At 39.5% G+C, this 18,992-nt stretch overlaps 1 long non-coding RNA gene across 1 annotated transcript in view, besides 1 other annotated feature; it reads left to right on the forward strand.

Annotated features, from left to right (window-relative positions):
* LOC112268276 (uncharacterized) overlaps positions 1-18,992 on the forward strand; it is a 175,024-nt gene that overhangs the window by 134,590 nt on the left and 21,442 nt on the right. The window lies entirely within an intron of this gene.
* Positions 6,363-7,039: an enhancer, noted in NCBI's record as "NANOG hESC enhancer chr1:166276066-166276742 (GRCh37/hg19 assembly coordinates)". NCBI's record gives its function as "activates a minimal SCP1, AML or CMV promoter by ChIP-STARR-seq in primed H9 embryonic stem cells {active_cell/tissue: H9 hESC(primed)}" and the evidence as "EXISTENCE:reporter gene assay evidence [ECO:0000049][PMID:30033119]".

Raw genomic sequence — 18,992 nt, forward strand, 5'->3', positions numbered from 1 at the left:
AACAATACACTGAATGGGGAAAAGCTGAAAGCATTCCCCTGAGAACCAGAACAGGACAAGGATGTCCACTCTCACCACTTCTATTCAACAAAGTACTGCAAGTCCTAGCCAGAGCAATCAGACAAGAGAAAGAAATAAAAGACATCCACATCGGTAAAGAGGAAGTCAAACTGTCGCTGTTTGGTGGTGATATGATTGTATACCTAGAAAACCCTAAAGACTCATCCAAAAAGCTCCTTGAACTGGTAAATGAATTCAGCAAAATTTCAGGATACAAAATTAATGTACACAAATCAGTAGCTCTGCTATACACCAACAGCGACCAAGCTGAGACTCAAATGAAGAACTCAACTATTTTCACAATAGCGGCAAAAACAAAACAACAACAACAATAACAAAAAAACAACCAAACAAACAAAAACCTTAGGATTTTACTTAACTAAGGATGTGAAAGACCTCTACAGGGCAAACTAAATGTCCGTTTTTAACCGCTGGGTGTCTCTGTCCACTTCAGGGCATCCTTTGGAAATGATAGGAACTTACAATGACCACTCACTTACAATTCTAGGCCTCTTGGGTTTTTTCATGTTTCTTCTTCATATTCTTGGTTTGAGGAACCCTCTAGAATCATTGTCTATGGCTTTCCTGGCAGACTGAAAGCCGTAAGAATCCTGGCCTTGAGGGCCATGGGATAGGGTGATCCTGGTTTACCCAGGATGAGGGATTTCCTGAGACTCTGGATTTTCAGTGCTAAAGCTGGGATAGTCCCAGGAAAGTCAGGGCGGCTGTCAGGATTTGTGCAGGACCATAATGTCCCTGCTCCAAGGAATGTCCTAGGGTAACTGAGATAGTGGAATATTGGGGCTGGTGTCAGTGGAATATTACCAGACTTGACTGAATTTTCTCTGGATCTTACCCTTTTTTCTTTTCCTGAGTGTGGAGCAGAGTATAAGAGAGCTGACCAGTGGGAGAATGCACATTTCACAGCTGCAGACAATGGTTACCAACACACTTTTCACCCCTACAATCTATCACTCTCTATTCATTCCTCCAGACAAATCTCTAAACTTTAGTTTCCTTAATGACCACATAATCTAGATATACGCAAGTCTAGGCTAATGGCCCATTTATTTCCAGCAGCATTTGAAACAGTGAAATTCTAGCACAGTCAGGGATTCTAGGCTATCCCTCGGAGGGGAATGGCCTAAGGAATTGGCTTGTTGTACCAGAGTTGGCTAAATATTTGGTGGGGGATTAATTCATTTCCTCTTTGGGATCTGATTCCAATGCTTTGGCTGGGCAAGATATCTGTCCTAGATTTCTGCACAAGTGTTTGTGCTTTTATTTATTTGTTTGGGGGGCAGAGAAAGGGCACTTTTTTGTGGTAGAAAGACTAACATGTATACAGCCAGTGGAGTTAGCTTGTTCTGGCTCACAAAAGCCAATGGTTAAATTTTAAGAAGCTTGTTATTAAAAACTAAACAAAGTCAGCCATTATTAACATTATATTATACAAAATTATAATTATATTAAAAACAAAGGTAATAAATACTTAAAGCCCATCACTTAATTATTATTCGATTATGTATGTTCTCGAGCTTATATATGTTTATTGTATTTGTATGGTAACAGTACTCCATTATGACATGCCACTGTGCATCTCTTCTCAACTCTGTATTCAGTGGTGTCAGACTGGTAGCTGAAATCAGCTATGATGGGAGTATTTATGCCACAGATGTTGGCACACATCAAAAATCATCTTCCTGCCTCTGAGAGTCTGTTGTTGAACATACAGCGGCATATATTCACATAGTTTTTGGTAATAACACAACAACAAATCATATACCAGCATATCACTGTGGAAAGTTATTTACTGAGCCCCTATTATATGCTGGGCATAGTTCAAAATGCTTTGTAAATATTTTTCATTCATTCAATAATACTGATTATTATAAATATTCCAGGTATCGTCACTATTTTTATTAGCTAACATTTTTTGGGTATTTGCTGTATGCCTGGCATTCTTCTAAGACCTTCACATGTATTCACAGCTTAATCCCTGGGATAAACCTTTGAAGGAGGTTCCATTATTATCCTCAATTTATAGATGAGGAAACTGAGGAAGTTATAAATGAAATAATTTTTCCAGGTTCACAGAACTGGTAGTTTGTACATCGATATTAGACCCCCCGCAACAACCTGACTCTGGAGCCTGAGCTCTTAACCACTAAACTCTACTGTCTTTTCATGGCTGTAGACACCATGAATGTAGCCTTTCAGGGCTACATTCTGATGGATGGGGTAGGGGGAGAGATATATTAATCAATAAACACATAAATACGTAGACCTCAGATAGTGATAATTGCCATGAAATAAAAATAAAGCAAGTCAAGGGTAATAGAAAACACTGAAGTTGGGAGGGCACATTCTGTATTTATTTGATTTTTAACTTAATATTATCCCCATTTTACAGAAGAGGAAACCGAGGCTCAGCGAGGTTAAATCCACACCAACAGCTAATAAGTGGCTGAACTGGGATTCGCACCTACAGTAGCCTGGTTCCCAAGTCTGTGCATATTCCCTCTACATCACACGTCTGCGTCTCTACTTGAAGTTCTTAGGTTACCAGGCCTTTGTTTCAAGCTTGATTTCATGTGCAGAGTCAGCTCAGCTGGAATCTGCCTTGTGTCGGTACTCATTTGTTTCTCTGCCCCTCCACAGCCATATGAGAGAATAAACAGATGTTCAGTTCACAGTGATGCTGCAGCCTGCATGAGTGAGTGTAATGTCTGAAATGTGGAACCAACCACATGGCCCTTCTCCACGCTGGTCAGTGAGGGGGCTTTGTCAGTGAAAACAGACTTATTGTGGCTAATGTAGGTCGCAGGTGGGAAAGGACGGGGACTGACAAAGAGTTTAACTGGATTCCATTGGCACTCAAAACAAGCTCAGTGAATAGGCATTGCAGGGGTTTGTGGGAGCTGCTCTTTAAATCACCCTGCATTGCCCCACTGGAAGTACTGTATTTAATGTCAACTTGCTTTGACCTTTAGTTTTGGTGGCATTTACTAATTCTATGAAAGCAGCCATTTCTCATGATCCCTGCAGCTTAATAGAAATTCAGATCATTAGTTAAACCCAGACCCAATCCATGCAGAAGTGAAAGTCTCTAAAATGTGTCCTCACAACCTAGGGAAAGATACAGGATGACCTCCACTATTTCAGTTCATTTGAATTTCTGACACCAGGGGAATCAGAAGGAAGTGGCATTTTTTTTTTTTTTTTTTTTTTTTTTTTTTTTGAGACAGAGTCTCGCTCTGTCGCCCAGGCTGGAGTGCAGTGGTGCAATCTTGGCTCACTGCAAGCTCTGCCTTCTGGGTTCACACCATTCTCCTGCCTCAGCCTCCTGAGTAGCTGGGACTACAGGCGCCCGCCACCATGCCCGGCTAATTTTTTGTATTTTTAGTAGAGACAGGATTTCACCGTGTTAGCCAGGATGGTCTCAATCTCTTGACCTTGTGATCCGCCCGCCTCGGCCTCCCAAAGTGCTGGGATTACAGGCGTGAGCCACCGCGCCTGGCCTAAAAGTGACATTTTAATAATAGGTCAAAGCATCAGTTTGACATGTTTTGGGAAACCAACAAAAGCCAGATTTTTCAGTGGGCCTGACTCTTGGATGGAAGAAAACTCCCTGATTACAAATATTTCACGGTTCCTTATCACTCAGTGATAGCCACCTCTTGTATCAGTTCCACTGCTACTGTAACAAATTGTCACAAATTTAGCAGCTTAAAACAATACTCATTCACAATCTCAGGGTTCAGGCATAAGTCCAAGTGGGCTCAGCAGCATTCTCTGCTCATGGGCTCACAATGCCAAAGTCAAGATGTTGACCAGGTGGGGCTCTTATCTGGAGGCTTGTGGGTGGGGCGGGAAGCGGGATCTGCTTCCAGTCTCATTCAGATTGTTAGCAGAATTCAGTGTTTTGAGTAGTAGGAGCAAGGTCCCAGTTTCCTTCCTGGCTGTCAGCTGGGGGTTGTTTTCACTTCTGGAGGGCACCATATTCCCTTCATCTTCAAATCAGCAATGGCAGATCAAGAATCTTTGTCACATTTTGAATCTCTTTGACGTTTCTGCCACATTTCTCCTGCTTCCAGCCAGAGAAAGTTGCCTGCTTTTGAGTTCTCCTGTGATTAGATTGGATCCACCTGGATAATCTAGGCTACCATCCGTGTCATAAGGTTTGTAACCTTAATAACATCTGCAAGTCCCTTTTGTCATTTGATGTAACATGTTCACAGTTCCTGAGGATTGGAACATGGCCTTTGGGGTCGGGGAGGATTCTGCCTATCATACTTGTATCTCCTTGACCCCTATGGAGCTCAGATACCTGGCTCACAGGATTCTGTAGGGAATATTTGTGAAAGTGCTTTGAAAGCTAAAAGTACAATACAACTGCGAGGTGTGAGACCTGTCTTAGAGGTGAGAATAAACAGATGTATAGTTAGGTCAACCAATTTTTTGTGAAAATGACTGTTTACAATTATGATTTTTCTACCTCTTAATATTATAATAGCTCCTCTAAGGACATTTACTCACTCATCCTTTTCATAGTATTGATTGAGCACTTACGATGTGCCTGGCACAATTCTAAGTACTGAGAATTAGCAGTACAGAACAGGCAAAATTTCCTCCTCTCATGAAACTTATATTCCAGCATTGGAAAACACAAGATAAATTATACCATATATTAGAAAATTAAAAATGTTATGACAGAACATAAAAGAGGAGGGAGAAAGGGAGTACCCTTCTGGGATAGGAGTAGGTTGTAGCTTTAAGTAAGCATGGTCAGGTAAGGCCTCACTGGGAAGGTGACCTTTCAGCAGAGGCTGGAAGGAGAGGTAAACAAGGCAGAATGAACTGCAGAAGATAGTTAGAAAGATGGGCATTGTCTGTATGTGTATAAATAGTTTTTTGGTTTTTTTTTTTTTTTGCCACGAGAGTGGATGAGTTCTTAACAAGAGTAAATTCAGACATGGAATAGAAGAACGCTGATGAATGAGTCCTGAGGTACTCCACAGTTAGAGGGCAAGGAGACAAGGAGTTGTCAGCAAGGGAAGGTGAGAGTGAGCAGCTGGTCAAGCTGGGCACTATCAGGAGAGGGCAATATTCTAAGACAGTGCTTCCAGGTGAAGGGCTTGTTCCTCTGTGTTAAATGTTGCTCATGGGTCAAGCAAGATAAGAATGGGTAATTGACCTTTGGATTTAATAATTTGAGGTTTCTAGTTAAACCACATTCTAATTGGAGAATCTCCAGAGAAAATAAGAGGAGAAGATTTGAAGATAGCAGTAAGTATAGACTACTCAGGTGTTCTGAAGAGGAGCAAAGAAGTGGGGAAATACCTGGAGGGCCACATGTGGACAAGAGATTTTTTTTCAAGATCAGATAGCATATTTGTGTGCTGATGAAAATGAGGAAGTAGAGGACAAATAGAGGAGTAGGAGACAGAATGGTCATTTCTTTGGCCTGAAGGAGATGGGTTCTGGAGTAGGGGTTGACCTTGAATGGCAGGACAGAAAATACATCCATGGTAACAGGAGTCAAGGCAGAGCATACTGGCCTAGATGCAGGTAGTGGGGTAGATGCAGAGGTGAAAGTTTGTGGATGTGCTTTTCTGGTGGCTTCTCTTTTCTCAGGAAAATAGAAAGGAAGGTCATCAGGGGAAGGTTAGGGAAGGGAAATAGACTAAAGAGATGACCCTCTTGTGGTGTGGCCACTGATGAACAGGAGCTGAGACCTGAAGACCTATCTCAAAAGACAGTGAACAGGGAGGGCACGGTGGCTCACACCTGTAATCCCAACACTTTGGGAGGCCAAGGTGGGTGGATCACTTGAGGTCAGGAGTTCGAGACCAGCCTGGCCAACATGGGCAAACTCCATCTGTACTAAAAATACAAAAATTAGCCAGGCATGGTGGCACGTAGGAGGCTGAGGCAGGAGAAATATGGCGTCCAGCAGCCATCCCACCTGAGGAAATTCTCCTCTCATTGCCAAACAATTAGGGTACCCAAGATTGACTTGTAGAAAGAGAGCTAGTGATAGTCCTTATGGTTGTTTCTTACTAAATACCTGTTTAATCAGCACAATTAACCTGTTCCCTAAATTAGTACACACAACCACCCATGAAATTAGCAATTACTGTCCTCATTATTATGCCCGTTTACAGAGGAGAAAACTGAGATTCAGGGTGTTTCAGAAATTTATTCAAATTCTTATAATTAGTGTATCAGCTATGATCAGATTAGGCTGTCCAGAGGTGGTTTGGTGGCTTTGCTTCCTGAGGTCCTTGGAACCCGGGCTCCTTGTATCTCTTCATCTTGTGTGTGGCCTTTATTCACCCATTACCTGGTAGTCCAAGATGGCTGCTCAAGCTGCAGTCATCATGTTCCCTAACCATTCTGCAAAGAGGAAGAGATGAAGAAGGGAAAAGACATTTCACCTGTCTTTGGGGAAGGTTTCTGGAAACTTCCATTTGGCATTCTGTATACATCTTATTGTCCTGAGATTAGTTCCATGACCACATGTGGCCACATATAATGCAGAGAAATGTAAATTTTATTTTGGATGGCATAGTCCCAACTAAATTTCCATTATAATGCACTAATGTATGGAGATTCCCTACTCAGGGGACTTGTATTCTCTGTCAGTGTCATTACACTTAATCACTTAACTGCCTTGCCTTCTCACCTCTCCCTGATTCCCAATGCTCATGTCTCAGAATTTGCTTCTCTATTCCTATTCACTAACTGTTGAGTCCCAGAATCCAGTAAAAAATTTGTCATTGCCTTTTGAGGGAGGTAACAATTCAGTAAAATGAGCAAGAACTTTGAAGCCAAATAGACTTGGCTTCAAATCTAGGCTTAAGTACCTACTGCCTCTATCAACGTGAGAAAGATACTTAAATCCTCCGACCTCCTGTTGCCTGCCAATTGATAAAATTAAACCTAATTTACAAGGCTGAGGAGAGAATGAAGTGAGGTAATATATATGACTGTATTTGACATCTGTGGTTTCTCAAGGCATCTATGTCCTTCTTTTCCCTGGTGATCTAGTTAATGGAGAGGCTCAGTGAATCCAGAGACCCTCCGTGGTGGGCATTTGCTGATTGCTAACTAGCATCCTGCCCCTCCTCTGCCTGCCTAACAGCATCCAGATTTTGGATTCTGTAGGATTATAATCTCTCTCCTCCATTATGTAGTGGCCATGGAATCTGGAGGGGGTTGACACCCTCTCCTGCCCCTTACCAGCTCTGGGGGAGACTTTGATTGATGAAAGTGTCTTTGAGAGCAGAGGGGCAATGTTATTCTTTTACATTCAAGTTTCTCTCAGGCATTTAAAACATCACCGGAGTAATTGATTAAGCAGTTGATTGAATGGGTCTTGGGGAAACACTGGGCTTGTGGAGGGAATTTCCAGGGAAAAGCTGTGTCTGACACTGTTGTGAATGAGCCAGCAGCGGAGCCAGTCAACCGTGGCCGCTGTGGCCTGGTGATTATCACGTTGGTATGTTCTAATATGACAGCTGGGAATCTCACCAACCAGACCCACCTGATCAGCAATGAAGTGTTTCTATTCTAATCATCTTTTGGGACTGTGGCTGGCATCAAGCATTGGAACAAAAAGTGCTTCTCGGGCATCTGCCTTTTATTAGTGAAATCCATTCCTGTATGAAGGCTTATTCTTCTCATGGCAGAGAAGTGATGTCTTTTACAAAGGTGGTTTGCCTATCTTTGCTCTGCCTGCCGGCTTTATAGAGTTCTGGGTTCATACTAGAGGCCTTTTGAACACCCCAGGTCATGCTTGGTTTAAAGAATCTTACCTTCACTTCTGGTCTGGTTGCTGTGGTCTAGAAGCAGACCTGCCTTAGACTTTCAGCAGATGGAAGAAAGGAAGGAAACTAATTGTGATTGTGCACTGGCTCCATCATGACCTTGGACAAGACTCTTCTGTGAAATGAGGGAAGTAAGACCTCCCCTTCAGTATTTTGGAGAGGAATAAATGAGATATGTGTTTAATATACTTAGTATAATCTGGCGCTTAGTAAAGACTTAATCAAATACTGGCAGTGATTATTATCAAACTCATGAGCACAATGGTTGGCATAAAGCCACCCCTCCATGAATGTTGGCTATTATTATTATTATTATTATTACTCTTCATATTATTATTTTGAAGACTATTTTTATAGCAGTTTTAGGTTCACAGCAAAACCAACTGGAAGGTCCAGAGCCTGTAACCCTCTTCGTCCCCATGTATACACAGCTTCCCCTACTACCAATATCCCACACCACAGTGGTACATTTTTTACAAAAATGAACCTACATTGACCCATTATTATCACATAAGTCCATAGTTTTTATTAGAGTTCACTCTTGGTGTTGTACATTCTACAGATTTGACAGGTATATAATTACATGTAACTGCCATTATAATATCAAGCAGAATTCTTTTACTGCTTTAAAAATCCTCCGTGCTCCTGCTACTCATTCTTCCCTCCCCTCAACACCTGACAACAACTGATCCTTTCTGCCTTTTTTAGAATGTCATATTGTTTGAATCATACAGCACATAGCCTTTCCAGATTGGCTTCCTTCACTTAGTAATATGCATTTAAATTTTATCCATGTGTTTTCATGGCTTGATAGCTTTTTTAAAAACTTCTGAATAATATATCATTGTTTGGATGCACCATAGTTTATTTAACCATTCACCTACTGAATGACATTTTGGTTGGTTACAAGTTTTGGCAATCACGAATAAAGCTACTATTAATATCTATGAGCAGATTTTTGTGTGAACATATGTTTTTAATTCATTTGAGTAAATATCAATGATCATGACTGTCAGATTATATGGTAAGTATATTTAATTTTGCAAGAAATTGCTAAATTGTTTTCCAAAGTGGCTGTACCATTTTTCATTCCCATCAGCACTGAATGAAAGTTCCTGTTGCTCTGTATCCTCACAACATTTGGTATTGTCAGGGTTGTAGATTTTGTCATTCTAGTAGGTGGTATCTCATTGTTGCTTTAATTTGCGTTGTTGCTCCAATTACATATGATTTTGGGCATCTTTTCATATGCTTATTTGCCACCTGTATATCTTCATTGGCAAGGTATCTATTCAGGCCTTTTGCCTATTTTTTAATCAAGATGTTGGTTTTCTTATTGTTGAGTTTTAAGAGAGCTTTGTATATTTTGGATAACAGCACTTTATCAGATATGTCTTTTGCAAATATTTTCTCCCAGTCTGTGGCTTGTCTTCTCATTCTCCTGACAATATCTTTTGCAAAGCAGAAGTTTTTAATTTTAATGAAGTCCAGCTTATCAATTATCTCTTTCATGGACTGTGGCTTGGTGTTGGACCTAAAAAATCATCACCACATCTAGGGTCATCTAGGTTTTCTTCTATGCTATCTTGTAAGTGTTTTATGGTTTTGCATTTTACATTCATGTCTGTGATCCATTTTGAGTTAAATGCAGGAAAAGCTTTTTTTGAGTGGTATAAGGTGTGGCTAAATTCTTCTTCTTCTTTTTTTTTTTTTTTTTTTGCATTTGGATGTGTAATTGTTCCAGCACCATTTGTTGAAAAGACTATCTTTTATCCATGTATTGCCTTTGCTCCTTTGTTAAACATCAGTTGACCATGTTTATGTGCACTTATTTCTAGCTTTTCTATTATGTTTCATTGATATATTTGTCTATTCTTGGACCAATATCACACTGTCTTGATTACTGTAGCTTTTTAGTAGGTCTTGGAGTTCAGAGTGTCAGTCCTCTGACTTTGTTCTTCTATATTGCGTTGGCTGTTCTGGGTCTTTAGCATCTCTATATAAAGTTTAGAACATAATTGTTGATATCCACAAAATAACTTGCTGAGATTTTGTTTAGGATTGTGTTGAATCTATAGATCAAGTGGGAAAGAACTGATGCTTTAACAATATTTTATCTTCCTCTCCATGAATATAGAATATCTCTCCATGTATGTAGGTCTTTGATTTCTTTCATCACAGTTTTGTAGTTTTCCTCGTATAAATCTTATACATATATTTTTAGATATATACAGAAGTATATATCTCAGATTATATATAAGTATTTTATTTGGGGGAATGCTAATGTAAATGGTAATGTGTTTCTAATTTAAACTTCCATTTGTTGGCATATAGGAAAGTGATTGAATTTTGTATATTAACTTTGTATCCTGCAACCTTGCTATAATCTTTTATTAGTTCCAGGAGATTTTTCTTCTTATTGTTGTTGATCCTTTAGGATTTTCTACATAGACAATCATGTCATCTACAAATAAAGATAGTTTTATTTCTTCCACCCCAATATGTATACCATTTATTTTATTTTCTTTTATTTTAATTATACTTTAAGTTTTAGGGTACATGTGCACAACGTGCAGGTTTGTTGCATATGTATACATGTGCTATGTTGGTGTGCTGCACCCATTAACTCATCATTTAACATTAGTTATATCTCCTAATGCTATCCCTCCCCCCTCCCCCTACCCCACAGTAGGCCCCAGTGTGTGATGTTCCCCTTCCTGTGTCCATGTGTTCTCATTGTTCAATTCCCACCTATGAGTGAGAACATGCGGTGTTTGGTTTTTTGTCCTTGCAATAGTTTGCTGAGAATGATGGTTTCCAGCTTCATCCATGTCCCTACAAAGGACATGAACTCATCATTTGTTATGGCTGCATAGTATTCCATGGTGTATATGTGCCACATTTTCTTAATCCAGTCTATCATTGTTGGACATTTGGGTTGGTTCCAAGTCTTTGCTATTGTGAATAGTGCCGCAATAAACATACGTGTGCATGTGTCTTTATAGCAGCATGATTTATAATCCTTTGGGTATATACCCAGTAATGGGATGGCTGGGTCAAATGGTATTTCTAGTTCTAGATCCCTGAGGAATCGCCACACTGACTTCCACAATGGTTGAACTAGTTTACAGTCCCACCAACAGTGTAAAAGTGTTCCTATTTCTCCACATCCTCTCCAGCACCTGTTGTTTCCTGACTTTTTAATGATCACCATTCTAACTGGTGTGAGATGGTATCTAACTCTGGTTTTGATTAGCATTTCTCTGATAGCCAGAGATGATGAGCATTTTTTCACATGTCTTTTGGCTGCATAAATATCTTCTTTTGAGAAGTGTCTGTTCATATCCTTTGCCCACTTTTTGATGGGGTTGTTTGATTTTTTTCTTGTAAATTTGTTTGAGTTCATTGTAGATTCTGGATACTAGCCCTTTGTCAGATGAGTAGATTGCAAAAATTTTCTGCCATTCTGTAGGTTGCCTGTTCACTCTGATGGTAGTTTCTTTTGCTGTGCAGAAGCTCTTTAGTTTAATTAGATCCCATTTGTCAATTTTGGCTTTTGTTGTCATTGCTTTTAGTGTTTTAGACATGAAGTCCTTGCCCATGCCTATGTCCTGAATGGTATCGCCTAGGTTTTCTTCTAGGGTTTTTATGGTTTTAGGTCTAACATTTAAGTCTGTAATCCATCTTGAATAATCCATCTTGAATTAATTTTTGTATAAGGTGTAAGGAAGAGATCCAGTTTCAGCTTTCTACCTATGGCTAGCCAGTTTTCCCAGCACCATTTATTAAATACAGAATCCTTTCCCCATTTCTTGTTTTAGTCAGGATTGTCAAATATCAGATAGCTGTAGATATGTGGCATTATTTCTGCTTGGTCTGTTCTGTTCCGTTGGTCGATATCGCTGTTTTGGTACCAGTACCATGATGTTTTGGTTACTGTAGCCTTGTAGTATAGTTTAAAGTCAGGTAGCATGATACCTCCAGCTTTGTTCTTTTGGCTTAGGATTGACTTGGCAATGCGGGCTCTTTTCTGTTCCATATGAACTTTAAAGTAGTTTTTCCAATTCTGTGAAGAAAGTCATTGGTAACTTGATGGGGATGGCATTGAATCTATAAATTACCTTGGGCAGTATGGCCATTTTCATGATATTGATTCTTCCTACCCATGAGCATTCCATTTGTTTGTATCCTCTTTTATTTCATTGAGCAGTGGTTTGTAGTTCTTGAAGAGGTCCTTCACATCCCTTGTAAGTTGGATTCGTAAGTATTTGATTCTCTTTGAAGCAATTGTGAATGGGAGTTCACTCATGATTTAGCTCTCTGTTTGTCTGTTATTGGTGTATAAGAATGCTTGTGATTTTTGCACATTGATTTTGTATCATGAGACTTTGCTGAAGTTGCCTATCAGCTTAAGGAGATTTTGGGCTGAGACGATGGGGTTTTCTAGATATACAATCATGTCATCTACAAACAGGGACAATTTGACTTCCTCTTTTCCTAATCGAATACCATTTATTTCCTTCTCCTGCCTGATTGCCCTGGCCAGAACTTCTAACATTATGTTGAATAGGAGTGGTGAGAGAGGGCATCCCTGTCTTGTGCCAGTTTTCAAAGGGAATGCTTCCAGTTTTTGCCTATTCAGTATGATATTGGCTGTGGGTTTGTCATAGATAGCTCTTATTATTTTGAGATATGTCCCATCAATACCTAATTTATTGAGAGTTTTTAGCATGAAGCGTTGTTGAATTTTGTCAAAGGCCTTTTCCGCATCTGTTGAGATAATCATGTGGTTTTTGTCGTTGGTTCTGCTTATATGTTGGATTACAGTTGTTGATTTGCGTATGTTGAACCAGCCTTGCATCCCAGGGATGAAGCCCACTTGATCATGGTGGATAAGCTTTTTGATGTGCTGGTGGATTCAGTTTGCCAGTATTTTATTGAGGATTTTGCATCGATGTTCGCCAGGGATATTGGTCTAAAATTCTGTTTTTTTGTTGTGTCTCTGCCAGGCTTTGGTATCAGGATGATGCTGGCCTCATAAAATGAGTTAGGGAGGACTCCCTCTTTTTCTGTTGATTGGAATAGTTTCAGAAGGAATGGTACCATCTCCTCCTTGTACCTCTGGTAGAATTCGGCTGTGAATCTGTCTGGTCCTGGACTTTTTTTGGTTGGTAAGCTATTAATTATTGCCTCAATTTCAGAGCCTGTTATTGGTCTATTCAGAGATTCAACTTCTTCCTGGTTTAGTCTTGGGAGGGTGTATGTGTCGAGAAATTTATCCATTTCTTCTAGATTTTCTAGTTTATTTGCATAAGGGTGTTTATAGTATTCTCTGATGGTAGTTTGTATTTCTGTGGGATTGGTGGTGATATCCCCTTTATCATTTTTTATTGTGTCTATTTGATTCTTCTCTCTTTTCTTCTTTATTAGTCTTGCTAGCGGTCTATCAATTTTGTTGATCGTTTCAAAAAACCAGCTCCTGGATTCATTGATTTTTTGTAGGGTTTTTTGTATCTCTATTTCCTTCAGTTCTGCTCTGATCTTGGTTATTTGTTGCCTTCTGCTAGCTTTTGAATGTGTTTGCTCTTGCTTCTCTAGTTCTTCTAATTGTGATGTTCGGGTATTAATTTTAGATCTTTTCTGCTTTCTCTTGTGGGCATTTAGTGCTATAAATTTCCCTCTACACACTGCTTTGAATGTGTCCTAGAGATTCTGGTATGTTGTGTCTTTGTTCTCATTGGTTTCAAAGAACATCTTTATTTCTGCGTTCTTTTCATTATGTACCCAGTAGTCATTCAGGAGCAGGTTGTTCAGTTTCCATGTAGTTGAGCGGTTTTGAGTGAGTTTCTTAATCCTGAGTTCTAGTTTGATTGCACTGTGGTCTGAGAGACAGTTTGTTATAATTTCTGTTCTTTTACATTTGCTGAGGAGTGCTTTACTTCCAACTATGTGGTCAATTTTGGAATAGGTGTGGTGTGGTGCTGAAAAGAATGTATATTCTGTTGATTTGGGGTGGAGAGTTCTGTAGATGTCTATTAGGTCCGCTTGGTGCAGAGCTGAGTTCAATTCCTGGATATCCTTGTAAACTTTCTGTCTCGTTAATCTGTCTAATGTTGACAGTGCGGTGTTAAAGTCTCCCGTGATTATTGTGTGGGAGTCTAAGCCTCTTTGTAGGTGTCTAAGGACTTGCTTTATGAATCCGGGTGCTCCTGTATTGGGTGCATATATATTTAGGATAGTTAGCTCTTCTTGTTGAATTGATCCCTTTACCATTATGTAATGGCCTTCTTTGTCTCTTTTGATCTTTGTTGGTTTAAAGTCTGTTTTATCAGAGACTAGGATTGCAACCCCTGCCTTTTTTTGTTTTCCATTTGCTTGGTAGATCTTCCTCCATCCCTTTATTTTGAGCCTATGTGTGTCTCTGCATGTGAGAAGGGTTTCCTGAATACAGCACACTGATGGGTTTTGACTCTTAATCCAATTTGCCAGTCTGTGTCTTTTAACTGGAGCATTTAGCCCATCAACATTTAAGGTTAATATTGTTATGTGTGAATTTGATCCAGTCATGATGATGTTAGCTGGTTATTTTGCTTGTTAGTTGATGCAGTTTCTTCCTAGCCTCGATGGTCTTTACAATTTGGCATGTTTTTGCAGTGGCTGGTACCAGTTGTTCCTTCCCATGTTTAGTGCTTCCTTCAGGAGCTCCTGTAGGGCAGGCCTGGTGGTGACAAAAATCTCTCGCATTTGCTTATCTGTAAAGTATTTTATTTCTCCTTCACTTATGAAGCTTAGTTTGGCTGGATATGAAATTGTGGGTTGAAAATTATTTTCTTTAAGAATGTTGAATATTGGCCCCCACTCTCTTCTGGCTTATAGAGTTTCTGCCAAGAGATCAGCTGTTGGTCTAATGGGCTTCCCTCTGTGTGTAACCTGACCTTTCTCTCTGGCTGCCCTTAACATGTTTTCCTTCATTTCAACTTTGGTGAATCTGACAATTATGTGTCTTGGAGTTGCTCTTCTCGAAGAGTATCTTTGTGGTGTTCTCTGTATTTCCTGAATCTGAATGTTGGCCTGCCTTGCTAGATTGGGGAAGTTCTCCTGGATAATATCCTGCAGATTTTTTTCCAACTTGGTTCCATTCTCCCCATCACTTTCAGGTACACCAGTCAGACATAGATTTGGTGTTTTTACCTTGTCCCATATTTCTTGGAGGCTTTGTTCGTTTCTTTTTATTCTTTTTTCTCTAAACTTCTCTTCTTGCTTCATTTCATTCATTTGATCTTCCGTCACTGATACCCTTTCTTCCAGCTGATGGAATCAGCTACTGAGGCTTGTTCATTCATCATGTAGTTCTCGTGCCATGGTTTTCAGCTCCATCAGGTCCTTTAAGGACTTCTGTGCATTGGTTATTCTAGTTAGCCATTTGTCTAATCTTTTTTCAAGGTTTTTAACTTCTTTGCCATTGTTCAATCTTCCTCCTTTAGCTTGGAGTAGTTTGATCATCTGAAGCCTTCCTCTCTCAGCTCGTCAAAATCATTCTCCATCTAGCTTTGTTTCATTGCTGGTGAGGAGCTGCATTCCTTTGGAGGAGGAGAGGTGCTCTGATTTTTAGAATTTTCAGTTTTCCTGCTCTTTTTTTTCCCCACCTTTGTGGTTTTATCTGCCTTTTGTCTTTGATGATGGTGACGTACAGATGGGGTTTTGGTGTGGATGTCCTTTCTGTTTGTTAGTTTGCCTTCTAACAGTCAGGACCCTCAGCTGCAGGTCTGTTGGAGTTTGCTGAAGGCCCACTCCAGACCCTGTTTGCCTGAGAATCAGCAGAGGAGGCTGCAGAACAGCGAATATTGGTGAACTGCAAATGTTGCTGCCTGATTGTTCCTCTGGAAGTTTTGTCTCAGAGAGGTACCCAGCCATGTGAGGTTTCAGTCTGCCCCTACTGGGGTGTGTCTCCCAGTTAGGCTACTCAGGGGTCAGGGACCCACTTAAGGAGGCAGTCTGTCCGTTCTCAGATCTCAAGCTGAGTGTTGGGAAAACCACTACTGTCTTCCAAACTGTCAGACAGGGACATTTAAGTCTGCAGAGGTTTCGGCTGCCTTTTGTTTGGCTATGCCCTGCCCCCATAGGTGAAGTCTACAGAGGCAGGCAGGATCCTTGAGCTGTGGTGGGCTCCACCCATTTAGAGCTTCCTGGCCTCTTTGTTTATCTGCTCAGGCCTCAGCAATGGCAGGCGCCCCTCCCCCAGCCTCACTGCCACCTTGCAGTTTGATCTCAGACTGCTGTGCTAGCAATGAGTGAGGCTCCGTGGGCGTAGGACCCTCTGAGCCAGGCATGGGATACAATCTCCTGTGTGCCATTTGCTAAGACCATTGGAAAATTGCAGTATTAGGTTGAGAGTCACCCAATTTTCCAGGTGCCGTCTGTCACCCCTTTCCTTGGCTAGGAAAGGGAATTCCCTGACCCCTTGCACTTCCCGGGTGAGGCGATGCCTTGCCCTGCTTTGGCTCATGCTCAGTGTGCTGCCCCCACTGTCCTGCACCCAGTGTCTGACAATCCCCAGTGAGATGAACCCGGTACCTCAGTTGGAAATGCAGAAATCATTCGTCTTCTGCATCACTCATGCTGGGAGCTGTAGACTGGAGCTTTTCCTATTTGGCTATCTTGGCTCCACCTACCATTTTATTTTCTTGTCTTATTGCATTACTAAAACTTACAGTATGATGTTGAAAGAGTGTTTAGAGGGGGCATCTTGCCTTCCTCCTGATCTTAGTGTGAAAGCTTCTAGTGTCACCATTAAATATTATGTTAACTCTATATTTTTTAATTGATGTTCTTAATCAAATTGAGTAAATTTCCCTCTATTCCTAATTTGCTGAGCATTTTTTCTTTTTTCGTGAGTTGATGTTGGATTTTTGTCATTGCTTTTTCTGCATCTACTGATATGATTTGTGATTTTTCCTCTTTAGCCTGTGATAAATAAATTAATTGACTTTTAAATATGGAACAAGACTTGCATACCTGGAATAAGTCCCACTAGTTTCATTGCATAATTCTTTTTATTCATTGTTGGATTCCATTTGCTAATATTATGTTGATAATTTTTATTTTTATTTTCATAAAGGATATTGGTCTATAGTTTTCTTTTCTTGTACTGTCTTTGGTTTTGGTATTAGGTTTTGCTAGCCTCATAGAATGAGTTAGGAAATATTCCTTCTGATTCTATCTTCTGGTAGATACTGCAGAGAATTGGTGTATTTTCTTCCTTAGATGTTTGATAGGATTCACCAGTGAACCTATCTAGACCTAGTGTCTTCTTTTTTGAAAGGTTATCAGATATTGATTGTTTCTTTAATAGATACAGGCCTATTTAAGTTTTTAATTTATTCTTGTGTGAGTTTTGGCAGATTGTTTCTTCCACAGAATTGGCCCATTTTATGTAGGTTATCAAATTTGTGAGTATGGTATTGTTCCTAATTTTCCTTTATTATCATTTTAATGTCTATTAGAGCTGTAGTTATGTTCCCTCTTTCATTTCTGGTATTAGTAATTTGTGTCATTTCCCCTTTTTTCTTAGCCTGGCTAGAGGCTTATCAATTTTATTGACCTTTTCTAAGAACCAGCTTTTGGTTTCATTGATTTTTCTCTATTGATTTCTTGTTTTCAATTTAATTGATTCTTTTGCCTTGGTTTTTATTATTTCTTTTTTTCTGTTTACTTTGTGTTTAATTTACTCTCCTCATTCTAATTTCTTGAGGTGGAAGATCAGGTTATTGATTTTTGATCTTTGTTTTTTCTTTAATTCAATTTAATGCATATTAAATGTATAGCATTTAATTTTTTTACAAATTTAATTCTTACAAATTTTATTAAGTTGTATTTTCACTTTTATTTAGTTCAAAATATACATCTATATATATATATATATATTTATTATTATTATTTTTTTTCTTTTTTTGGAGATGGAGTTTCACTCAGTCCACTAGGCTGGAGTGCAGTGGTACTATCTCAGCTCACTGCAAGCTCCGCCTCCCGGGTTCATACCATTCTTCTGCCTCAGCCTCCCGAGTAGCTGGGACTACAGGCGCCTGCCACCATGCCCGGCTAATTTTTTTGTATTTTTAGTAGAGACGGGGTTTCACCATGTTAGCCAGGATGGTCTCAATCTCCTGACCTCGTGATCTGCCCATCTTGGCCTCCCAAAGTGCTGGGATTACAGGCATGAGCCACCACGCCCAGCCAGTTCAAAATATTTTTAAATTTCTCTTGAAAATTTCTTCTTTGACCCATGTGTTATTTAGAAGTGTGCTACTTAGTCTCCAAGTGTTTTGGAATTTTCCACCCATCTTTTTGTTACTGATTTTTAGTTTAATTCAATCATAGATCATGATGATCTGAGAGTAGATATTATATAAACTGTATTCTTTTAAATTTGTTAAGGTGTGTTTTATGTCCCAGAATGTGGTGCATCTTGATGTATGTTCCATGTGAGCTTGGTAAGAATGTGTACTCTACTGTTGTTGGATAAGGTAGTCTACAGATGACAATTATATCCAGCCAATTCATGGAACTGTTGAGTTCAGCTATGTTCTTACTGATTTCCTGTTTATTGGACCTGTCCATTTCTGGTACAAGGATTTTTAAGTCTCCAGATATAATAGGGGATTCATCTATTTCTCTTTGCATTTTTATCAGTTTTTACCTAATGCATTTTGATGTTTCATTGTTATATGCATATACCTGAAGGTTTATTATGTCTTCCTGGAGAAATGACCTTTTCATCATTATGTAACGCACCTCTATTCTTGTTAACTTTCCTTGCTCTGAAGTCTGCTCTGACTGATTTTATATTGACTTTATAGCTACTCCATCTCTATTTTGATTACTATTAATGTGGCATATTCTTCTCCATCCCTTTACTTTTAATTTATATGTGTCATTATATTTATAGTGGGTTTCCTGTAGATATCTCATAGTTGGGTCTTGACTTTTTTAATCCACTCTGACAATCTCTGTCTTTTAATTGATGTATTTAAATCATTGGTGTTTAAAGAAATTATTGATATAGCTGGATTAATATTTACCATATTCATAACTATTTTCTAT

Source organism: Homo sapiens, chromosome 1, assembly GCF_000001405.40.
Source record: "Homo sapiens chromosome 1, GRCh38.p14 Primary Assembly".
NCBI classification, from domain to species: Eukaryota; Metazoa; Chordata; class Mammalia; order Primates; family Hominidae; genus Homo; species Homo sapiens.